Source organism: Homo sapiens, chromosome 17 (assembly GCF_000001405.40).
Source record: "Homo sapiens chromosome 17, GRCh38.p14 Primary Assembly".
Classification (NCBI taxonomy): Eukaryota; Metazoa; Chordata; class Mammalia; order Primates; family Hominidae; genus Homo; species Homo sapiens.
Genome location: NC_000017.11, coordinates 13632618 through 13658105, shown reverse-complemented (window position 1 = coordinate 13658105; position 25488 = coordinate 13632618). Strand labels below are relative to the sequence as shown.

The 25488-nt window shown below is 39.9% G+C and overlaps 5 annotated features.

Moving 5' to 3' along the window:
* Positions 13971-14772: an enhancer, noted in NCBI's record as "OCT4-NANOG-H3K27ac-H3K4me1 hESC enhancer chr17:13546651-13547452 (GRCh37/hg19 assembly coordinates)". NCBI's record gives its function as "activates a minimal SCP1, AML or CMV promoter by ChIP-STARR-seq in primed H9 embryonic stem cells {active_cell/tissue: H9 hESC(primed)}" and the evidence as "EXISTENCE:reporter gene assay evidence [ECO:0000049][PMID:30033119]".
* Positions 14773-15574: an enhancer, noted in NCBI's record as "OCT4-NANOG-H3K27ac-H3K4me1 hESC enhancer chr17:13545849-13546650 (GRCh37/hg19 assembly coordinates)". NCBI's record gives its function as "activates a minimal SCP1, AML or CMV promoter by ChIP-STARR-seq in naive and primed H9 embryonic stem cells {active_cell/tissue: H9 hESC(naive and primed)}" and the evidence as "EXISTENCE:reporter gene assay evidence [ECO:0000049][PMID:30033119]".
* Positions 17133-17650: an enhancer, noted in NCBI's record as "NANOG hESC enhancer chr17:13543773-13544290 (GRCh37/hg19 assembly coordinates)". NCBI's record gives its function as "activates a minimal SCP1, AML or CMV promoter by ChIP-STARR-seq in naive H9 embryonic stem cells {active_cell/tissue: H9 hESC(naive)}" and the evidence as "EXISTENCE:reporter gene assay evidence [ECO:0000049][PMID:30033119]".
* Positions 23868-24368: an enhancer, noted in NCBI's record as "H3K4me1 hESC enhancer chr17:13537055-13537555 (GRCh37/hg19 assembly coordinates)". NCBI's record gives its function as "activates a minimal SCP1, AML or CMV promoter by ChIP-STARR-seq in naive H9 embryonic stem cells {active_cell/tissue: H9 hESC(naive)}" and the evidence as "EXISTENCE:reporter gene assay evidence [ECO:0000049][PMID:30033119]".
* Positions 24369-24869: an enhancer, noted in NCBI's record as "H3K4me1 hESC enhancer chr17:13536554-13537054 (GRCh37/hg19 assembly coordinates)". NCBI's record gives its function as "activates a minimal SCP1, AML or CMV promoter by ChIP-STARR-seq in naive H9 embryonic stem cells {active_cell/tissue: H9 hESC(naive)}" and the evidence as "EXISTENCE:reporter gene assay evidence [ECO:0000049][PMID:30033119]".

Sequence of the window (25488 nt, the reverse complement as noted above, 5' to 3'; positions counted from 1 at the left end):
TCCTTATAATGTACAGGTTTTCCTTAGGAGGTTTTGTGTATCCTGAAAGATCTATTCCAAGCTCACCATTTTGCTCAACTTTTCCTCTTATTCACATGCATGCTTCATTTCACTTGTCTTTGCTATGAATTTCTGTATCACCTGGACTGCCAGAGGATCTTAGAATGTCAATATCTGTAAATATAAAACTTAAAAGGCTTAGAGGTTTCTTTTAGGCATTGAGTCTGACCACAAGTTCTAAACCAACTTTTTCAGAGGGTTACATAGGAGGCTCCAGGTTCCCAACTGATTATCAAATGGCACATAACGTATTTGACCGAAGAACATTGAACTTAGGAACTTTCATAAAGACTAGCAAAATCACATTTCAGAGCAAGAGCATGCCAAGAGATGCAGCAAGACCATGCAGAAGAGATGCAGGCAACTTTGGCCATTATTTGGACCTGTGGTTAATGGATGCCAAATAGACAAGTACAGAATCTAAGAAAACACAGTTAGGACACTTGTTTATAATGAAAACAATTAAAATGCAAGCGTTATTTGGGTAAATGTTTAAAAGAATTAAAAAGAAGCCAGAAGATTTTATACAACCTGCCCCTTCCACCTCATATCCTGCTACCCTGCAGTGGGCTCATTCTGCCTCAGCCATTGACCTGTTGGAGATTCCTGGAAAAAAGTAGGCATGGCTCTGCCTCAGGGCCTTTGCACTTGCTGTTTCATCTACCTGGAAAGTACTTCCCCAGATAGCTGCAGGATTTCCTTCCTCAAGTCTTTACTCAAAAGTTACCTTCTCAGTGGGGTCTTCCTAACCACCCCTTCTAAAATGTTAACCCCACTTAACACATCTAGCCTCCTTTCTCACTTTGTTTTTTGCTCTTTAGCACTTATCACTAACATGCTAAATATTTTAATTTTGAATGTCTGTTCCCCACTAAAATGAGGGTAGGGATTTGAAAATGAAGGTAGGGATCCCTTCCCTGAGGGTAGGGATTTGTTCGTTTTACTCACTAATGTACCCTCAGGCCCAGTGTCTTTCAAGCTAGTAGTAAGGGAAAAATGTTGTGAGTTGAGCAAAAATGTTAGTGGAGAATAGAGAAAGAGAAAGCTTCCCCCATGCAAAGAAGTCTGCAGGTTTAACCGTTAAATAAAATAGATATAAGTATATGAATATGTAGAAATAAAATATACATATAAAGAGAGAGTATATAAAACACACAAATATACATATACTTATATACATAGTGAGATGGTAGAACCTTTAGCATGCATTGACTTATACCAGCAGCCTTCATGTTTATTTGAACCACAGGACTCTTTGTCATTGAAAACTATTTTGGAAAAGCTGGTCTCAGTTATGGCTATGGGGAGAGGAAAGAAAACTGGCATCTCTTTCTTTTCTCTTCTTCTCATTTCCTAAGACAATGAGAAACCCAAGGCTTCTAAGGATAGTTTCAGACTACATCTTAATGTTGTCCAGCCCAGGATGCCAATGTTTTATCGCACCTCCCTCTTAGCTCACATCTTTTGTCTGCCTACAGCAACTTATCTCCCTTCCAATTTTCATATGGCTCTTATGCCCAACTCAGGCATTGTCTGACTTCTGCCACCCCTCCCAGACGACCCCCTTCCCTCTGTGTCCCCACCCCCACAGCCCAAGTCTAGGCAAGGCATCCTTTTACATGCCCCTAGGACATATTTCACACACCTTTCTCATAATGTCTATTACCCTGTTTTGGCTGCAAATGGGTGGGTGAGATTGTAATTATTTGCAAAAGGCATAGCACCTCGTTGCTTCATAGATATTCAAACTTGAGCAGTGTATTAAGTCAGTTTCATGTTGCTATAAAGAAATACCTGAAGCTGAGTAATTTATAAAGAAAAGATATTTCATTTTGGCTCGCAGTTCTGCAGCCTGTACAGGAAGCATGGTGCCAGCCTCTGATTCTGGTGAGGCCTCAGGAAGCTTCCAATCATCACAGAAGGTGACAGGGAGCCAGCATGTCACATGGTGAGAGTGGGAGCAAGGGAGGGAGAAGGGGGAGGTCCCAAACTTTTAAACAACTAGATATCACAAACTAATTGAGTGAGAGCTCACTTATCACCATGAGGATGGTGCTAAACCATTCATGAGGGGTTTGCCCCCATGATCCAATCACTTCCCACCAGGCACCCACCTCCAACACTGGGAATCACATTTCAACATCAGACTTGGAGGGGACAAACATCCAAACTCTATCAGGCAGCATTTCTTTCTTCAGGCTTAGTTTCTACCTTAAAGTATCTGGTGTCTTAGAATTCTTAACTATTCTGAGTCTCAGTCATATTTTCCAGCATTGACGTGATTTATTAACCCATATATCCTAATGTCACTAGGAAAACCTGATCACAAACATAATCTGATGGTGTTCTGTTTACAGGCCGTAACAAGAGTTTAAATATTGATTAAATATTTGTGCACTGATGTCCATAGCAGCATGATTCACAATAGCCAAAAGGTAGAAGCAACCCACGTGTTCATCAACAGATGAATGGATATCAAAGTGAGGTAAATCTATACAATGGAATTATTATTCAACCTAAGAAAAGAAGGAAATTCTGACACATGGGTGAACCTTGAGGACATCATGGTAAGTGAAATAAGCCAATCAGAAAAAGACAAATACTATATGATTCCACTTACACAAGGTACCTAGAGTAGTCAGTTTCATAGAGACAGAAAGTAGAAACAAGATCACCAGGGGCTAGGGAGAAGAGAGAATGGAGAGTTATTGTTTGAGGAGTATAAATTTTCAGTTTGGAATGATGAAAAGTTCTCGAGATGGATGGTGGTGATTTTAAGTACACGAGTGTACTTAATGCCACTAAATTGTAGATTTAAAAGGGTAAATAGTAAATCTTAGGTTACACATATTTTCACGAAATACTTTTAAAACATTGATTACATTCAGTGCCTGATTCCTAGATATCTTACCTCTTTGCCTTCTTCTGGCCGTTAGGTAAAATCTGAATGAATTAAAGAGACAAGTTTATTTCCATTGCATGGAATAAGCCTCAAATATTGATGAGAATAAATCCTGCAGTGCAATCTTTATTGTTATGTACACTCACTATCTTCACTGCTTTTCCTTCCTGTTTTACAAAATAAAACTTCTCTGAAGTTGTCTTTTAAAATGTTCTTTGCTAAGAAAATTTTAGTTTATTATATTTCACTAGGGACCATAGAAGCATTTATTGCACAAATTTCTCTGTGTGCTGTGTTTTGAATAACTAAAGTACGACTTGTAAATTCTTAAAATTTGTTTATCAGCTTGGAACAATAAAAGTGATAGTCCACGTATGAAAACATGCTTTAAATAACTCTAAATGCATTCTTTTTTATGTAACTCAGTAAATTTTGTATATTATGTGCATTTGGCCTGCAAATGACATTATCAATTCAATGAAAATATTGTGAGAGTTATTTCATTTATGCAATAGAGATTTAAAGAAAAAACTTTCATTGTTCACATTTTAGACAATGGGATCATGTAAACATAAATCATGGAGAAGAGGTTTCCATGGAATGCCTGTACAGTAGTACTTTAAAAGCTTCTTACATTTTCATAGCTCATTTGTTATTAGATGGCATTTTAATAAATAATAATTTACAATTTAAGGATAGTCAATAGTTAATATAATGATTCAGAAAACTATGCCTGCCTCAGAAAGACCTTAAGTCTAAGTATATTAAGCACTATTTTTAGCACATGTATTATTAACATATACTAATATTTATATATATATTTCTATGTGCATTTTTTCTGAACAGAGCATAAGAAAATAGGTTTTTCACATGCAGAAAATGTGAATTCTTTTTTAGAAATAAGGGATCATTTTAAAAATAAAGTGATCAGGTTTCATAGATTGATCTTGAAATCCTGGTTCTTTTTGGGAAAAATCCTTTCCTTTTTGCAGTTTCTGCATCACTTATCTGGACCAAATCTCTCGAGTGTCATCTTAAGAGCTGTCCAAAACATAAATCATGCCAAATGGGTAGTAAAAAATGATAGAAGGTGATAAGCTGATTTGCACCATTCTTCTTTCTGACAGTTCTCTGTGATCTGCATTGTGATAACTGTAAGTCATGGAGCCCCGGGTCCACTCATCATTGCTCTTTGCACATACCTCCAGGTGTGCCAAGGGGCACAGTGAGGCCCATGGAAAGCTGACAGAGCACAGTACAGAGGAGAACGTGGATGGGGTGCTATGGATGAGGAAGCCTTGGCTCCTCTGCATCTGAGTTCGTCCACAGGACTATTGAGCATCTTCAAGGCACAGCCACTAGTTTGCCACAGAGACAGCCATTTCAAGAGAGCCCGGGTGGAAGCTGCAATGCCCTTTATGATTAATCTTGGAAGTCCCACCGTCCCGGCAGCCCTACCCTATTGGTCACATGGAGCATCTCTGATTTGGTGTGGGAGGGAAATACACAAGAATGTAAATGTCCAAAGCCTGGGTCACTTCTCACAGATCACAAAGCACTCCTGGAGCAGCCCCCACCTGCTTCCTCTCTGAAGTCTCACCTGAGCTGTCCACTACTGCTCTTCTCCTCCTACCCAGGGGAACCCTTTTTTAGGTTATTGCAGGGTGTAGATGGAAGGCCCACATTTTCTACTGTTGTTAACCAAGGTAATTGTCCAGTGTGCATGAATTATTTATCTCACTCATAACTACCCGAAATTCCCCTGAGGCATTGGTTTTCAATGCTGGCTGCGAATTAGAACTACCTGAGAAGAGAGAGAGAGAGGGGGGGACGGGGGTGGGGGAGAGAGAGAGAGAAAGTATGTGTGCGTGTATGTGTGTGTATTCTATTTTATATACAGTCACGTGCTACTTAAGGATGTTTCAGTCAACAATGACTACTTCCGGGATGGGGGGCCGGTGAGATTACAATACTGTATTTTCATGCTACCTTTTCTACGTTTAGACACACAAATACTTACCATTGTGTTACAATTGCCTCCAGTATTCACTGCAGTAACATGCTGTACAGATTTGTAGTCTAGGAGCAAAAATAGGCCTTTCTATATAACCTAGGTGTGCTGTAGACTGTGCCATCTGGGTTTGTGTAAATGCACTCTATAAGGTACACACAATGACCTAACAACGCATTTCTCAGAACGCATCCCCATCATTAAGAGACGCATAACTGTATTATCCTTTTTATATTCTATTCTATTTCAACAGTAATTCTCCCGCATCACAAACGTGAGCTTCCCCAGTCTTTCTCTGATTTACTTGATCTGGAACAAGTTCCAACAAACTAATTTTTTTTTTTTTTTTTTTTTTTGAGACGGAGTCTTTTTCTGTCTCCCAGGCTGGAGTGCGGTGGTGCGATCTCGGCTCACTGCAAGCTCCGCCTCCCAGGTTCACACCATTCTCCTGCCGCAGCCTCCCGAGTAGCTGGGACTACAGGCGCCCGCCACCACGCCTGGCTAATTTTTTTGTATTTTTAGTAGAGACGGGGTTTCACCGTGTTAGCCAGGATAGCCTCGATTTCCTGACCTCGAGATCCATCTGCCTTGGCCTCCCAAAGTGCTGGGATTACAGGCATGAGCCACCGCGCCTGTCCAACAAACAGTAATTTTTAAAAATTGTCCTTGAAAAATCCCAATGTGTGTTACAAACCACTGCATACGTGTTTCAAAAACAAAAGCTAGAGAGCCTGGCTAGATAAAGCGCACAAATGTTAACTGTATCACTCAATACATTTTTAGCAACTATGCCAAGCATATCCAAACTGTGGTCCCTGGGCTGCATGCAGCCCAGGATGGCTTTGAATGAGGCCTAACACAAATTCATAAACTTTCTTAAAACATTATAAGATTTATGCATGTACCTTTTTGTTTTTAAGCTCATCAGTTATTGTTAGTGTTAGTGTGTGTTTTTTTGTTGTCATTGTTGTTTTTGTATTTTTTTTGAGACGGAGTCTCCCTTTGTCACCCAGGCTGGAGTGCAGTGGCACAATCTTGGCTCACTGCAACTTCCACCTCCTGAGTTCAAGCAATTCTCCTGCCTCAGCCCCCCGAGTAGCTGGGACTACAGGCAAGCGCCATCATGCCCAGCTAATTTTTGTATTTTTTTTTTTTTTTTCGGTAGAGACAGGGTTTCACCATGCTGGCCAGGTTGTTCTTGAACTCCTGACCTCGTGATCTGCTCACATAGGCCTCCCATAGTGTTAGTGTATTTTGTGTGTGGCCTAATTCTTCTTCCAATGTGGCCCAGGGAAGCCAAAAGATTGGACACCCCTGGCTACATCATCCAGTTCATTATAGTGCAATTACAGCACACCAGAGAGCTGGCTGGTGGTCCTCCCAGTCAAACCCTCTCAAAGGTAGCCACTATTCTGACTTTTATCACCCTATATTATTTTGCTTATACTTGAACATTATTTATATAGAATGATACAGTATGAACTCTTTTGTGTCTGTTCGCTTTTTTACACTCAATAGTTTGAATGTGAGATGCATTCATTTTGCTGCCATTAGTTGCTTCTTTTTTAGTGCTGTTCAATTTACCATTATTTGAGTAAACTATACGTTATTTATCCGGTGGATTATTTCCAGTTTTTGGCTAACAAAATTGCTATGATCCATTCTGTGGATGTCATTTGGTAGACATAGCCATTCATTTGTGATGAAGTAGAATTCCACAAGCAGCATTTTGGAATCATAGGTTAGGCATCTGCGGAGCTGGAGAAAATATTACCGAACATCTTTCCAGAGTGGTTGTACCAATTTTCCCTTCCATCCCCACGGTATAGGAGTTGTAATTACCATGCACCCTCATCAACACTTTGTATTTTCAGTTTTTTTCAATTTTATACATTCTGGTGTATAATATCACAATGTGGCTTTAATTTGCATTTCCCTGATGATCATGAAGGGCACATTTTTATATATGTATATAAAACATATAATTTGGATATCTTTTGGATACTTTCTTTTGTGAAGTGCATATTCAAATCTCCTGCTCACTGTGCAACTGAATTTTTTTCTTTTTTAAAACTATTTATTTGTAGGAGTTGCTCATGCATTATGGATATAAGTCCTTAGTTGGTTATTTGTATTGCAGATATTTTGTTTCCAGACAATGGCTTGCCTTTACTCTCTTAATAGTATATTTTCATGAATAGAAGTACTTAATTTTCATGAAGTTCAAAATTTATCAGTATATTTTTTATGGCTTTTTTTGGTATCCTGTTTAAGGAATCTCTGCCTTTCCAAGATCATAAAGATGTTTTTATAGATTTTTTCTAGAATATTCTATTAAATCCTTCTTTAGTAGCTGTGAAGGCAGAGCCAGTTATTTACTTCAGCCGGAAGAAGAAAAAAGAGAAAATACAGAAGAAATTGTGAAAATATGAGATAATACCTAAAAATAGTATCTCAGTACAATTTTATCTGCTAGATTATAGGCTCTTTGAGGGCAATAACTGTGTCTTACTCATCTACACATTTAGTTCAATGGCAAGCTCAGTGCCTCACACACAGCAGACATATATAAAAATAAAGCTGAATTTGCTTACTACCCAAGTTCAACCTCTGTGCTCATCCAAACAAAGAGCCCTCACTAAAAACCAACAAGAACAGTCAATATGCAAGATGATGAGAACTTGGAAAAGCCTTAGACATGGCCCAACCAAAGTCACATCACGGCAAAGGAAGCAGACGGGACTTCCCGGGTCACACACCAACTTAATGACAGGGCCACAATGTGACCCCAGGACTCCTGCCTTCCGGTTCACAGACCTTTCCCACATTTCAAATCCTCCTAGAAAACCCCAGGTCTATTTTTAGAGAACCCACATGAGTGTCAGCTGTTAGATTTCTTCACTGTTGATTCAACATATAAACAAAAGAGTTCTGCAGTTCTTACTATGTCTCTCTGTTGAATTACCAAGAGGCAATCAGCAGGAAACTAAAAACATCATAAACTTGAAGGGGAGCTGTGGAAAAGGGAGAGTAATAAAAAAATATTGGTTTTGGGTAACATTGTCTTCACGTAAGGGCTTGTATGGTTACGACCAATTTTGAAGAGGGCTTTGATTCCTTCCAGGCAATCCATGTTAGCTCACACTTGTGTATTCTGTTCCCACTTACTTCAGACACAGGTAACTGAAATTCCATGTGTACCAGTAACTGTAAAAGCACTTGCTTCATCCTTCCTTAAGGCAAAAGCATTTATTTAAACTGGATGTTTCACATTGGAAGCCTGTGGGGTGGATAAGGAACACAGATGGGGTCATCCATTTATATGTTTAACAAGCCAAAATTTTGCTAAAGTTTCACATAAAAAATAAGCAGAATGTCTAGATTTTTTTTTGAAAAAGAGAATTGATCTCTTAAAGAGGAGAAGAAGAATCGATCTATGTGATAATAATAGATTTGCATCTCGACAACGATGCACTTGAGTTGGACTGGCTTGCTTTCTTTCATTCATTGCTTCATTCATGGACATCACCTCTCTTCCCTCTGTGGGCTTTTGACTTAGGGGCCCTGACTTAAGCAATAGCATAAATTAGGTAATATTATTTTCTGCTTATAGCCAAAATATGCACTGAATTTTTTAAAATTCTAACATATATATACATTCTAAGTTTTATATATATTGTGCTATGGACTGAATTATAAGCCCCAAAATTCATGTGTTGAAGCTTTAACCCCTAAATGTGACCGTATTTGGAGATAGATCCTATAAGAAGGTAAGTAAGGTTCCATGAGGTCTGATAGACTGAGCATGGTGACTTATGCCTACAATCCCAACAATTTGGGAGGCCAAGGCGGGTGAATCACTTGAACTCAGGAGTTTGAGACCAGCCTGAGCAACATAGTGAAACCCTGTCCCTACCCAGAATTAAAAAATAAGCTGAGCATGGTGGCACACACCTGTGGTCTCAGCTACTGGGGAGGCTGAGGTGGAAGGATCACTTGAGCCCGGGAGTTAGAGGTTGCAGTTAGCTGAGATCATGCCACTGCACTCCAGCCTGGGTGACAGAGTGAGACTCTGTCTCAAAAAAAAAAAAAAAAAATGAGTAATTAGGTCTGATAGGATTAGTGCCCCTGTGACAGGAGATGTCTGAGAAGTCACTTTCTGTGTGCATGCCCTGGTGAAAGGCCACGTGAGCACAAAGCAAGAAGGCAGCCATCTGCAAGCCAGAGAGCCCTCACTGAAAACCAACCACACTGACACCTTGATCTTGGACTTCCTAACCTCCAGAACTGTGAAAAAATAAATTTCTGTTGTTTAAGCCCCTCAGTCTATGATATTTTGTTATGGCAGCCTGAGCTAACTAATACACACATGCATACTGCAAGTTAGATCTTTTCAGCTCCTCCATAAACTGCACATTGACTTCACTGATCCTGGAGCATTCTGGCTTCTATTTGGCTGCCAGTCAGGCATTAAAAACCTCATTGACATCTTCCTGCTACTCATTCTGTACGTTAAATGGCCTCAAAGGGATTTAAAATTATTTTGGCATAATTCTTCCTCTAAGGGAGGCAGTGGCTTCATGGATGTAACTCTCAGCATCTACTTGAATCTATGTCTTATCCATAACTGTCTCTAATGATTTTCTGAAGCGACTGGAAGTCTCTTACATAGGGACTGTGTAACGGCACTGTCTCAGCTTTGATTGTCCCCAGTTCCCTGTCCTAGAGTTATGACATTCACCAAGAAAGTGATACAACGCAGGTACAACTTCAACAAAAACAAATACCAGAATCAGACTCTTCTTACTACAATTTAAAACACAACACATGCTCTTATAGCATTTTATTTGAAAGTTTCTGAAATCCCATCATTTGAAAACAAACGCATGCATTTTTGTTTTAAGAGACACTAATAGTGACCTAATATGTATATTCATTCTCACCCTGGGGAAACTATATTATTTGAAAGTTTTCGCTTTTTTGAGCTCATTCTAGGGTTGCGATGAACAAGGCTAGATTCTGCAGCTATATTTCATGAAGTATCATTATCCTTCTGCCAAAGAAAACTAATGGATGGCTGGAAGGAAAGATACAATTTGGAGGCAATTAATTCTGCTTCAAATCCCAGTTCACCCATGCTAAATAGCACTTGAATCCCGATTCAAGATTTAGTGTCCAACGGCCTCTGGAAGCCGGTTTGGGCTGCTCTTCATGGCTCCATTCTGCAAAGGGCCTGCCTTTTGTTCCACTTCCTCTTGGCCCTGTGCTTGTGGGCAATGAGATCAGTGATGGGCTGCTTCTTGTTCAGTTTACCGGGGCCTCAAGCTGCTTTATGCCCTGATTTACAGCACGAAGGGAGTCTCTGATGAGCTGGTGCTTGATACGTTCAATTTGTCCCAACTACAGCAGGGCTCATGCTGCCATCTGCTTGTGATGCTGCAACAAAAACACTTGAGGAATGAGCCTGTCTTTGTCTCCCTCCTGACACTGTTTGGTATATTCTGGAATGGAAATGGCATTAGCAAGCCAAAGATACTTCATGCTCATAGAATCATCCTAAACAGGAGGTGCAGCCAGTGGCTCATCAACAAATATCACTGCTAGGATTATTCCAAAAACATCGTCTTCCACTCATGATTTACAAACACAAGGGGATATGGTTGTTAAGCAATTGCTGCTAAGAGATCAGCCCTTAAGCCCATCCCTTCCCTTTTTCCTCTTACAGAATCACACTGGCTGCAGGCAGCCCTTTGGGAGCAGCTGAGTTTGCTGACTAAGAAACAAATTCTCGGACAATTGGCCTCACCTTTCATCACTTATTTTGGTGCCTTCCTAAGATCCGATGCTCTGCAAGCTCCAGCTTGCTTTGCTTTGATGGTCTTACACCAGGCCCTGCCATTTACTAAGCCACCTTAGGCAACTTAGCACTTCTGTGGCTCTGTTTCTCATCTGCACATGAGGGTTGTTGCAATATGATGCAATACTTTTATTATTTATCATTATTATTATTGTTGTTGTTTATTTAAAGATGGAGTCTCTCTCTTTCACCCAGGCTGGAGTGCAGTGGTGCAATCTAGCTCACCGCAGCCTCAAACTCCTGGGCTCAAACGATCCTCTAACCTCAGCCTCCTGAGTAGCTGAGACTACAGACATGAGCCACCACACCCAGTCTGATACTGTGATTTTTGAAGAGTACCTGGCACACAGTAAATGCTCAGCAAATGTTAATTACCATTACCATTATGGTGTTTCAGCTTACACCACTCTGAGTGAGCCAGGCTAGAAGTGGGGAATCAAATAAACACAGGGAACAGAACCCTGAACTGAGGCTTAAGTCCAGAGACCCTGGTTTGCTTTCAACTGTATCTTTTAAAGTTCAAAGCACAGAACTCAACTCTTTCATTTTGCAGAGAGGGAAACAGATGGGTAAAACGGTTTGAATGTGGACATTAGGGAATTACAGAGACTTTGCTCAGAGTCCTAATTGTGCCACATACCAGCTAAGTGACACGCAGCAGTTCATTCAATCTTTCTGAGTCACATCTTAGTGTGATCCCACATCTTAGTATCCAACTTTTCCTCCTGCCTCACAAGGCTGTGGTGAGGACCACCTGGGCTTCCTGAATGGTAGCAGTGGTGGCTATTCTTGTTCTTGCCCAATTCATGCAACTTGAAGTGGTAGAGTTCCACCTACCTTGCAACTCCAATGGCTGACTCCAACTCCAGGATTCCTTCCTCTGCTGCCTGAAGAACAGCAGACATACACACACAAAAATCAGAGGTCTGGTGAAGCCCAACACTGATCCCATTCTACACGTAGGACAGCAGCCTCCATCCAGAGCCCTCACAGATGTGGGGTGAGTAACAGCAGGACGAAGCATGGAGGTGGGAAGAGTGTTCACTCAGAAACAGAGTCTTGAGCCCAAACTCCGCTCCCCTCACCCCCGTCTGCCTAGACTTTGTGATCAGAGAATTTCGTGAACATCTTAAGTGTTTATAGACCTGCCTTTCCCAGATCCCAGTCTCTGAGGTTAAATTGATTTTGGTCATCATAATAACCAGATATTATGGGAAGGCTCAGTTCATCTCAGAGTTCATTGCCATACAGAGGCTGTGTTAGAAACACACAAAGGCAAACTAGAGAGAAGTGAGGAAGCCAGCATGTGCACAGTAATGGTACATGGCAGAGGGTGGTGGAAATTCAAATGCATCCATGAGGGAGTTGAAAGAAGGATGTGGTTAACATGGTTTGGTCAGGGGGAAAACATGTAATAGAATGCTGAGCACTTTATGTATGTAATCTAATTTAGTCCTTAAAGCATTCTCCCACAGACAAATGCAGTTTAAATTTCACAGATGAAGGTTAAATGCTAAAGCCATATACTCAAAAGAGCCAGAGCTAGGAGTGGAACCTGAGTCTGTTTTGAAGCAATACTGCAAACCCTTTCTACTGTATCACACTGCTTCTTAACATTTATGGAGCACTTACTGTGTACTGCGTACTCTGCAATGTATGCCGCATATATTACCTTATTTAAACCTCAAATAACTCTTTTGAAATAGATGTTATTATTCCCAATTTCTGGTAAAATGGGGCTAAGTAACTTGCCCAAGATGATACATTAAGTAAAAGGGCAAGATTTGAACCAAACTTTTTAAGCTTCAAAATCTATGCCTTTTTTACTGTACCATAATTTTCTTTCTCATTATTCTATAAATTTTAAACAAAACACTCCCAAATTCAATCAGGCATTTAATAATGCATTCTAAACTATGCAAAATTTAGCATATTCCTCACAGTCACTATCAGACCTTTTCTGCTTATCTTTGGGGCCAAAAACTGCCTCTCTAACTGTGCAGTGCCACCAGATCACATCACTTCTTGCAATATAAAACCTCTAAGCCAAGTAGGGCAGTTATGCTGGGACCTTCAAATACCTTTTTCATAAACACCCCTCCAAACCAGAGGGAGACTAACCCTTCCCTTCACCTGTACCCTAGAACTCATTTGCCAATAGATCCTGACTTTCAAAGGCAACTGTTCCCTTTTTGAATACTTTCTGAAATTTGGAGAACTCCTCAAGCTATATATATGCTCAAGTCTCTCCTTTGGCCTAGGGATCCACTTTTATAATTTGGGAAGCTGAGGAGATCAATTTGAGCAAAATAGTGCTGTGTCAAAAGTGAAATACGTAGAACGCACAGTGGTAGTATGAGGAATTAAATGATCTAATGACTTTCTGCTGATAAGATTACAGAGAGGTGAGAAAATAATCTATTCTCTCATCAGAAGTCCAGGAAGAAGTTTCTGGATCTTTTCTCTAAAGGCAGAAATCACTAATTTATCACAAGAGACTTTCTTTCTTTCTTTCTTTCTTTTTTTTGAGACTGAGTCTCGTTCTGTTGCTCAGGCTGGAGTGCAGTGGCGCGATCTCGACTCACTGCAACCTCCACCTCCCGGGTTCAAGTGATTCTCCTGCCTCAGCCTCCCGAGTAGCTGGGACTACAGGTGCATGTCACCATGCCTAGCTAATTTTTGTATTTTTTTTTAGTAGAGACAGGATTTCACCATGTTGGCCAGGATGGTCTCAATCTCCCGACCTCATGATCTGCCCAGGCATAAGCCACCGCGCCTGGCTCAGGAGACTTTCTTTATACAAAATCCACTTGTTTTCATTTGATCTATTTTTGTTTCGTTTTGAGGCTTTTGATACATTCACATTGATTGCATTATTAAAATGATCTCTGGCTGATGTTTGTCTCTTTGATCTCTCTTTCTTGATCTTCCTTGACCCCACTAGAATAGTGAGGGCAATGACAGTGAGGTAGAAAGGCATGCAGACGGGTTCCGGGTCTAAACTGGCCATGTTTCTCAGTTAGGGTGACCAACTTGTCCCAGTTTGCCCGGAACTTTCTCAATTTTAGAACTGAAAGCCCTGCATCCTGGGATATTCCCAGTCTTGGACAAATCAGAATGTCACCCCATCCTACAAGGATGAGAGTTTAAAAGAGGTATGGCTGAGGCCTGGGTATAAAATTAGTCCAAAAAACCAAGAGGCATTTGGCTAGAGTCTCTTTAGTTTGAAATAAGAAGAACTTCCAGGGGTAGAAACCCCCGGAAGGTATGTGAATAATAGATGCTGAGCTCACCCTAGAGTTTCTGACCCAGCAGGTCAGGGTGGGGCAGAGAATCTACATTCCTGACAAGTTCCCCAGTGAGGCTGATGCTGCTGGTCCAGGGACCATACCTTTAGAACCACCACCCCACAGCTGATAAACCTTCTCTGTGAAAAGTGCAGGATTCCTCCAACTATGATTGCGCCAGACCCATCTTGCCACTAAGCCTGACCTTGTACATGCCCATTGAGCTATTTTATTCTTGCTAAAGTCTTTATTGTTCAGAGAGAGAGAGAGTGAGTGACAGACCAGCAACACGGCCACCATTGATTAATGAGCCCCCGCTGCCCCGGTGCCTTCAGGATCCTCTGGCATGCAGCTTTTGCCCTCATTGCCTGGATTTGAGGGAAAGAAATAAGAGGTCTCTTTAGAAAGCCTTGAAGGGCTAAGGCTAGAGAGGTTGAGCAAGGCTACAGATCATTGGAGAAGTACCAACCTGACCCTCTCCAACCCACAACAAAACCTTTTCTTGAGTGATTAGCCTCAGAGAAAGGTGATTTGTTAAAACTCTGGGTTCACGCTTTTGTGCCCTGGGCCTAGGACATCTGGCAGGAGCCAGAGAGCTCTCTGATACCAGGCTTGAGCCCCCATTCTCATTCACTGGACTGTGCATCATTGAAACACTGGCTACTCATTCTCATGCTAATCCGTGAACTCAGAGAGCAGATGTGAAACATTTGGTTCTGTTCTTGCTCACTTGTAAAGAACTAATGCAACTTTTTTTTAAAGGGAAGGGCAGAGTTGGGCTGAGAGAGGGGTTAAGGTGAAGGGGGAGGGAGAAAAGGAAGAAAATGGGGTGAATTCCAGGAAGAAAGAAAAGTTTACGTGAATGACTTTCTGTCTTGGTGGGCCAAAGCACTGCAGTTTATGTGAACTTCAGCCAAACCAATATAAGGCAGGAAATACAAATTAATACTAGAGGAATGAAATACTTCCAACTTGCAATGTACATATTTTCTATAATGCAAGGATGGTAAGATATAGAGGTTCTCTCCAGTGAGATTCCATGAGCCTTTTTCTCTCTGCCCTGTGTAAAAACACTGTCTTTAGGGGCAAGAACACTTTATTCCAACCCCCAGGCATTTTACACTGTAATTACTTTATATTTAGAATGCCATTCAAAAGTTGACAGTAGTTTAAGTGGAAGCTGGAAGTTATTCCAAAAAAAAGTGTCTATTTTACTATAGGTATTTCTTTTTTTATCAATAGAAAAATACATATAAATTCATTGGAGAGATGAACAGATAAATAACTTCTAACGCTGTCAGAGATTTAATACCCTTATTCCTACGTGGTTCATTTGACTAAAGTGCCTATACCATTGATGAAATTGTAAATCTGTTAATGACAACATTGATTCAGTGGAATATCTAGATTTGTTTCCTCCACTGTCATCAGGAAAATTCTTGGGGAAAAAGACTTATGATACATTTGCTGATGGCATACTGTACCTCTTGCCCAGGATTTGTGGTCTGTTTAATGCATGCCACAGATACAGGCTGACATCTGCAAAGCATGCCAACTCGAAATTGTTTACAACTGTCACCCAAATGTCCTCTACATTCCACCAGCCAGCATCACTCACTTTAACAGTTCTGCTGCGTCAGTAGCCTCTGCATGTTAAGTGGACAGATTGCCACCTTCCACCCCTGCTCCTTTCTAGAAGTCTCTTAAATGACTGCTGCCCAAGCTTCCCTAGTGATAAGAATGACCTGGAGTGCTTATTAAACATAGAACTTCCTGGACTCTCCCCTAGAGATTCTAATTCGATAGATATAGGAGGCAGGGGTTCCACCATCCCTATCAAGTATTGAGGATGAGTTTGATCAACAAAAAACTCTAGATCGCATTGCCCAAAAGAGTATTTTTGGAAGTCATCTATGTGGCAAATAAGGTCTAATATACTGAGCCACGTACTCTCTGCTCCAGCCATTTCTTCTTCTCTAGAGCTGCTATCTGCCTAGGTTTGCAGGTCAGGTGTTTGGGGGACCACGTTTGACCTTTGATACCTTAGGTTGCCTATTCTTACTTTACTACCATTACCTAGAATTTTGGGCGACTTGTCTCCTGATATTTAGCACACAGTTCTCTCTCTTGTAAGTGATTCCTTCTCATCCCCATTCCACGTTTAGGAAGAGAGGCTTGGGGACATTGAATAATTAAGGTCTTCAGATTCGTTTTACCCCTGAGTCCTCTGGGGGAAAATGTTCCCTAAACATTTGGCCTTCTGGGAAAATTGTTATTTTTAAGTTTGCCACTAGAGAGACCCTGAGGAGAGCCTTCTTCAATCCTAATGTGGCACTGTCCTGGGAGCCACCATTCCATGGCTGCCCTGTCCTGAATTGAGCCCACACTTGGGTGCTTTTTTCTTCATAGTGATTTTCTCTCAGTAGCCTCTCTCCTGTACATACCTGTAATCTAGATACACACACACACACACACACACACACAAACATGGGCCCACACAAGCAAATTTAAAAGCATGAACACAGGCACATGCATGCCCACACCCACATATTCACGCACAAAATTCATACATAATTGCATATATGCACATCTCAAAATCCTCAGACATATTTTTAAATGTCTAGACTTATCTTTGGGCAAGGTTCTTGTTTATTCTCATAGAGCTTTTTAGCTTATCCAAATCATAGCATGTACAAAGGCACCTGCTCTGGTGACCCTGATCATCCACATATAGATAAAGAGGCCTTCTCTCTATCCTGAACTCAAGGAAGATCTTGAACAAAGGTATCAGCCAACGTCACAGGCTGGTGTAGGCAACTCAACCAAGACACCTGTTTCCACACCTTTTGAAGAAGTTGTTACTTCATCCTAGTATAGAGACAGAGGGAAAGTTTCCTCTTTGCCCACTGAAGGTTCACTGAAAATGAACTGATAAAAGGCAGATTAATAAGAGAAAAAGAACTACAACATTTATTTAACATGCATAAGCACAGAAGTCATACAGAAAGTATGAGGCTTGAAGAGGGACCAGATGGTTGAGGCTTAAATACTCTCTTCGTAGGGAAGATATGTATGGACCTGGGAGGCTGACATCATTTTGTAAATGATTCTCTTTGGAAGCTGGATGGAAAAATGAGGGTGGCACAGTGCTGGAACAAAGCTTGTCTTATGCAGATCAAGCCCTCCAGGTAATCCCTCAGAGCTGGCCTTGGGAGAATAGATGAAAAGTCTGTCTGGGCATGGCAATTACTGCCAGTCTTTTCTCTGTGGCTGATCTTTCCCGGTTGTTTGATGAGATCCCTAGGGAGAGGGTCTTAAGACAATTGCATTTCTTTTGGGAAGAAGCTTTCTTAGTCAGACAAGAACTTTCTCTACGTCCCTTCCAGTGTTTCAGGAAAGAGAATCAGAGAGACAGGGAGGCAGGGGAAGGTCAGAGGGAAAAAGTTTGATACTGAAGCTTACTTTTGTGGCCTTTCAATTTTCAAAGCACTCAGCATGCCAAAGCACCATATTTTGGGGAATTGTCTTCAGTGTCCCAAAATTAGAACCATTCAATCAGTTCTACGCATTTTTGATTTCTACTTCAGTGCTGCTACTGATGTCTCTCTTTTTTTGTTGTCGTTTTAATAGTTGTTTGTTTGTTTGTTTTGAATCTTTACCTATCCAAATCCTCAGTATTAAAAAAAGAATCCTCCATTCAGCCTTCTGATTCTTCCAGGCATCACTAAGCTCCTTCCCTTTGGAATATCTAATCTTCTATAATTTCCATTACATAATTTTATATTTAATTACATATTATAGGTATCATTAAATATCATTTCAAGTACAAATTTCCATTCGGTCTATGAACACTATGAATTCCATTCTGAGATTCCTTTAGCCAAATTCTGTTTCTTCTATGGTATTTATTTTCTTCCTTTTATAGTTAATATGTTTTTCAAGTGTCAACCTGATGTCCCTAACTAGATTGTAAATTAGTACATCAGTCAGCAAAGACCTACTGATTACTAACCATGAGCTGGGGAAAACTCATTAGCAAGGTAGACTTATTTTTACTCTGATTGTGCTCGCAGTTTTCCAATTTCCTCCAATTAGAAACTAAATTTATGTCCTCAAAGACAATTGCATATCCTAAAATCTTATATTATTATTGCTAAGACAATTGCATATGCTAAAATCTTATATTATTATTGCTAAGACACCTTCGAAACAAGATAAAGGGTTTAATCGGTACAAGATATAAAATACACATCTCTTAAGTTTGGCTATGTGCCCATAGTCAGGTTTAAAGAGTTAGTAACGTGAGATAATAACAATAATATTTACTATTTATTGGGCACTCTCTATGAGTCGGGCACTCTATTAAGCCCTTCATGTGTGTTACCAGAAGGGGTCCTGATCCAGACCCCAAAAGAGGTTTCTTGGATCTTGCACAAGAAAGAATTCAAGACAAATCCTTAAAGTGAAAGCAAGTTTATTAAGAAAATAAAGGAATAAAAGAATGGCTACTACTCCATGGGCAGAACAGCCCTGAGGGCTGCTGGCTGGCTATTTTTATGTTTACTTCTTGATTATATGCTAAACTAGGGGTGGATTACTCATGAGTTTTCTGGGAAAGGGCTGGGCAATTCCCAGAACTGCAGGTTCCTTCCCCTTTTATACCATATAGGGTAACTTCCTTTCATTGCCATGGCATCTGTAAACTGTCATGGAGCTGGTGGAACTGTCCTTTAGCATGCTAATGGATTATAATTAGCATGTAATGAGAAGTGAGCTTGACCAGAGGTGACTTTCCTTGCCATTTTGGTTTTGGTGGGATTTGGCCAGCTTCTTTGCCACCTGCTGTTTTATCAGCAAGGTCTTTGTGACCTGTGTCTTGCACAGACCTCCTATCTCATGTTATGACTAAGAATGCCTTAACCTCCTGGGAATGCAGCCCAGTAGGTCTCAGCCTTATTTTACCCAGCCCCTATTCAAGATGGTGTCGCTTTGGTTTGAATGCCTCTGATGTATGTATCAAGTCATATATTGCTCATAACTCACTTTTAATGGTGTATTATCATGCTAATACTACTATTATCCCTGTGTTTCAGATAAGGAAAAACTGAAGCTAGGAGAGACAAGTAACTTGTCCAAGGCAACTGACAGGTGGTGGACTCAGATTCAAACCCTGGTCATTCAGCTACAGAGCTTGTGCTCTTCACTGCTATGACCTCGGCTTACACCCTAACTCTCAGGTTTACTGTGTAGCCTCTGTAATACTGGGGAGAGTACCTGGCCATAGTAACTGTTCAAAAAAGTGCTAGCAATCAATAGCGAATTGTGCAGTTTGGCTTTATCTTTGTCCAAGTATTCATTAGGCAAATAATACTTTAGTTTCTTACTACTATGATTTTGCCATGTTTTTTAATTATAGTTTTCTTGTCTTGTTGCATTGTGGTCAGAAATTACGATTGATGAAATTTATGCTATTTAAATGTTTTTAACTTAAATATATGTATATATAATATTCTCTAATTTATGTTTTGAACCAATTTAAAATATTTTGCTTTCAGTAAATTAGTATGACTTTTATTCTAAGATGGAACAGGTATATTTGGTTTAATTTCAATGATTTTAATATATGGCTTTTGTTTCTTATGCTTCCCTTCTATTTTCATTGTTTTCTATGCCACTATATTTTCTGGAAATTTTACACATGCATGTGTTAGTTTGGAAGACATTCTGTCTGCTAGAAGTTCTGCTTATAGTTGTATAATGTCTTTCATAACTGATAAGCATTCTTTTAAACTTATATTTGTTAATTTTGAAATGATAAAAATGAAATTATAATTGGTGAGTTCCCTCAATGAAACATGAATTCAGTTATACTTTTGAAATGTTTTTTCAGTATTTTAAAATTAATTTATGATTTTTTAACCTGTCACATTTGTCTCAAAAATTATAAGATGTAATATATAATATTTATTACACTGCTTGTATTTATGGTTTTAGATGGAGTTTTAACTTGCTACTTACAGTGTTTTTACTTTTGATTTTTTTTTTTTTTTTGAGATGGAGTTTCGCTCTTGTTGCCCAGACAGGAGTGCAATGGCGTGATCTCGGCTCACTGCAACCTCCACCTCCCGAGTTCAAGTGATTCTCCTGCCTCAGCCTCCCAAGTACCTGGGAGGCACCACCCACACCCAGCTAATTTTTATATGTTTAGTAGAGATGGGGTTTTGCCATGTTGGTCAGGCTGGTCTCGAACTCCCAACCTCAGGTGATCTGCCTGCCTTGGCCTCCAAAAGTGTTGGGATTACAGGCATGAGCCACTGTGCCTGGTACTTTTGAAATTTTAGTTGGTTAAATTGTGCCTTCAATGAGTTTTTCTGAAAGAATACACTGGTAACATTGTTATTGAGTCCTTTTACTATCTCTGAAAGTCATCCTATCATCTTTATTTGAGAATGACAAGTTGTCTGGATAGAGAATTCTACTGTTTTTTTGCTAAAGTGTCTGAGGAGATATTTGAGGTTGATGCTTTAGATGTCAATGATAGTGATACAGGAGTTAAGAAGACATTATTTAGGCAGATAGTGAGAGGGAGGAAGTCCTTGGTAATGTTTTCCTTTTAATAAAAAAGCAGCCCCAAATCATTTTCTTTTCTAACAAAGAGCAGCCTGTAAAATCAAGCTGCAGGCATAGACAAGCAAGTTGGAAGCTTGCACGGGTGAGGACGCCGTGCCAATAGGAAAAGGCTACCTGCAGGGAAGCCTTGTCCAACATGGCGGCTCCATCTTCCCCTTACCTTGTCAACCACGTGCCGAGTAAGGAGCAGGCAACATGGCCCAGCCAAGTACAGACTGCATTTGCATAATAAAAGGTTAGGGTGGGGTAGCCAGCTTCCTCGTGGGCTATGTAAATGTTATACCTGGTCCAAGCAAACTCTGGGCCTTATGTAAATCCTCAAGCCTGTCTATAAAACTCTGTGCACTCCAAGGTGGGCCAGAAATCCAGCGGTTCTCCTTTCTCTCTTTTGCTTATTAAATCTCTGCTCTTAACCTCACTCCACCTGTGTCCACGTTCTTGATTTCCTTGGCATGAGGAAACAAACCTTGGGTATTTACCCCAGACAACAATGCCGCTTCAGTAGCCCTAAAAAATTTGTTAAAAATGGTTTGGCCTTTCCTCGGTTTCAGCTTTTTCTTTTCTTTCTTTCTTTCTTTTTTTTTCTTTTGTTTTTGTCTTTGTCGTATTTGTTTCTTTCTATTTATTTCAGATGGTGCTATATATGGAAGTTCCACCTTTCCTCAATTTCTTAAAATTTTAAATTAAACATATATGAAGCTTCTCAATACCTGTTATCAAGGTTACTTACAGAATTTATTGACATTATATTTCATATTTTATTTTCTATTTTCAACTTATTATATTGTCATATCTGATCTCCTCATGTAAATTTAACCCTCTAACTATATATAAAAATTTTAATATTTAAAAAAATTCAATATTCCGTATCAGCCATTTAAAAACCATTTCTGTTTCTTTTCCACTTCTACTTCAAATACATTTTTTTCAATAAATATTATGAAACTAAATAATTCAAACTTAAAACTGTTGGAAGTTTAAATTATTTTTCGAGCCTTGAGATGAATGAGGCTATTTGGCCTGAGCCACCTAACATGCAGCTGTAACTCCTGCTTTTTCCTGAAAATCATTAGGAAAGGCTTTGTAGCATAAGAGATAAGACCTCCTCAGATCGTCACTCCTCCTCACAGAATGTTAAAGCAATCATTCTTGAAATGTAGCAAGCTGTAATCAAATTGCTACAGCGTAGGTACTGACTTTGTTTGGAAAACGTTGCAACCCCTGTTAACTGCCTATATAAGTGAAACTGTAACTTCCCCACTTTGGAATGCTGACCCATTGTTTTGGAGTCTGTATTTCCCAAGCGCTTATTCTCAAGCTTTCCACTTGAATAAACTCGATATATTAGTCATATTTTCTGAATCTAATTATTTAAGGCTGACAATATGAATATATAATACTTTCTGGATATCTGAATATATACATACATATATATGTACGTATAATCATTATATTACTTTTCTGTGAGGAAAAGACCTTTAATAGGTATATAATACTTTACTTAAAATAGTTTTCCTTGAAAACTTTACACACATTGCTCCATTGTCTTAAGAGCATTTAAAGTTGTAGGAAGCTCTGAGGCTAGTTGATTTTTCATCATCTTTAGATAGCCTTTCCTTTCTACCTGATTTTTTCAAGTACTCTCTTTTTGTTATTTTTTTTAACTCCTTTTTATCTGAGGATTTGCTTTGTTTTGCTTTGTTCTGCTCAAGAAAGTTCTCGTGTGTGTGTGTGTGTGTGTGTGTGTGTGTGTGTGTGTGTGTGTGTTTTGAGATGGAGTCTCGCTCTGTCGCCCAGTCTGGAGTGCAGTGGCGCAATCTCAGCTCACTGCAACTTCTTCCTCCTGGGTTCAAGTGATTCTCCTGCCTCAGCCTCCCGAGTAGCTGGGACTACAGACACATGCCACCATGCCCAAATATTTTTGTATTTTTAGTAGAGACGGGTTTCACCATGTTGGCCACGATGGTCTCAATCTCTTGACCTCATGATCTGCCCGCGTTGGTATATTAAAGTGCCAAGATTACAAGCGTGAGCCACCACGCCCAGCCTCTCCCATGTTTTAAATTCTTGTTTTGGTTGCATTTGTTCTGGAGAACCCCTCAATAACACTAAAGATTTACATATTCAATCTTTGTTCTTTGTTCTCCACTTCTATCATCTTTCTCATGTTTTTAATTATCTTTCTTTTTTCTGCCATCCTGGGATAACTTCTCCAATTTACTCTCCATTTTCGAATTCTATCTTCTTGAGGATAAATTTTGTTTTCACTGCTTCTGTTTTCACTTCTTTTGTTTTTATCACCTTTTTAGTATATTAATATTATCAAGCTTCTTATTTATTTCTGTTTTGTCCTACAGAGTCTCCCTTTTAATCTCAGTTTATCTAGTCATCTCATTCTTTTTTTTTTTTTTTGAGATGAAGTTTCACTCTTGTTGCCCAGGCTGGAGTGCAATGGCATAGTCTCAGCTCACCACAACCTCTGCCTCCCAGGTTTAAGCAATTCTCCTGTCTCAGCCTCCCGAGTAGCCGGAATTACAGGCTTCAGCCACCAGGCCTGGCTAATTTTGTGTTTTTAGTAGAGAAGGATTTTCTCCATGTTGGTCAGGCTGGTCTCGAAATCCAGACCTCAGGTGATCTGCCCGCCTCAGCCCCACAAAGTGCTGGGATTAGAGGCGTGAGCCACTGCACCCTGCCTCATCTCATTCTTATCTCTTGTTTCAGTGAGCCAATATGTTATTTTATTTTATTGAGAGCCAAGCGAATGTACTCTAAAATATACCAGAGAAATATACCATAAAATGTCATTTGGAAAATTTTATTTTTCTCTGTTTATAGTGTCCTTAAACATATATTTCCTTTTACTCATGCATGCATGATGAGACTTCTATCTAGGAATTATATTTGATTTCTAGTGGATTGAGTAAGTTCTTCTTGAATTCCTTTGAACTTTACCTATATGCGTGATTGCAGTCTCTGACACATCATCCTCATAATCAATAAATATGGAGACTATAAAAAGATTCTCTAACATAAAGAGAAACAAGGCAAACAAAACAAATTTAAACTTAGCTTTCTTATCTACTTAAAGGAGATAATAACACTTAGGTCACAGGAAATATTGCAAGATTAAATGCCTAAGATGTTTGACATACTCCCTGAGAAATACTTAACAGATATAGCTCTTATTATTACATCAGTGGAGAATCTAGTTATTATCCAGAATATTAAATTGGCATGGAAAAAGCATCTGGTTATTGAAACTTTGGATATGTAAAAATAGCATTCATGGATAGTACTCATTTCTTACCACATCATTGCAAAATTACAAACAGCCTGGGAGTCCTTCATTTTTATTCTTCACCTTGAGAAGCGTGTGGACAATCTAACTACCAATATCATCCTTTACGTAACTCCTTAACTCCCTTTAAACATTATACTTCGGGCTGGGCGCGGGGGCTCATGCCTGTAATCCCAGGACTTTGGAAGGCTGAGGCGGGCAGATCACGAGGCCAGGAGATTGAGACCGTCCTGGCTAACACGGTGAAGCCCCGTCTCTACTAAAAATGCAAAAAATTAGCTGGGCGTGGTGGCAGGTGCCTGTAGTCCCAGCTACTCGGGAGGCTGAGGCAGGAGGATGGCATGAGCCCGGGAGGCGGAGGTTGCAGTGAGCCGAGATTGCGCCACTGCACTCCAGCCTGGGTGACAGAGCAAGACTCTGTCTCAAAAAAAAAAAAAAAATTATACTTTTGGGCAGGAATTGTGTTGATTCAACCAAATGTAGGCAAGTCTAGCAAGTCTGTGGTTACAACCAGGTTAAGTAAAAACATCTAGGTTGTTTGAGGATACCAGGTGACCATCTCTGCCTTTCTCTAGGTAGACTAGTCTCATCAGCTATTTTCATCATTTGCCCTGTCTGAACCCCAGTTATGTGCAAATCATTTTACTTTAAAAAGACTATATTTTATTGCTTTCTGAGTTTTCAACATTTCAAAAATGCTTTTTTAAAGTCCTATTTCATGCCGGGCACGGTGGCTCACTTTGGGAGGCCAAGGCGGGAGGATCACGAGTTCAAGAGATCAAGACCATCCTGGCCAACATGGTGAAACCCCGTCTCTACTAAAAATACAAAAAGGTGTGGTGGCAGGCGCCTGTGGTCTCAGCTACTCGTTCGGGAGGCTGAGGCAGGAGAATCACTTGAACCCAGGAGGTGGAGGTTGCAGTGAGCGGAGATCCTGCCACTGCACTCCAGCCTGGTGACAGAATGAGACTTTGTCTCAAAAAAAGCAAAAACAATAACAACAACAAAAACAAAAAAAAAGTCCTGTTTCAAAAAATTGTACATATAGACACATCAGTACTTTTTCCTCTCACTCTTTCTCTCTTAACTAATATTTTAGAACTTCATAGCTTTGATAGGCTTCCTGAATATAACTTCCTCTTCATATTTTCCTCACCATAAGAATTTGCTCCTACTCTTTTTTTTTTAATGGGTCCAGTGTATTGATTTAGAAATATATTTTTCCCTTCAAATAAATATAGAAAATGTCATTGCAAAGGACAGAAAGATGTCTAAATTTCAGAGGCTATTTAAATAGCTTTTTCAGTTTAGCAATATTATAATTACTTCTTATTTTTTCCCTTCCTTGTTTGAAGAGTGACACAAACAAGGTAGTCTAAAGTGAATGTCAGGAAAGAGAAGAAAAAGGAAGATAGAGTAAAAAGCTAACCAAGCTGAACTATT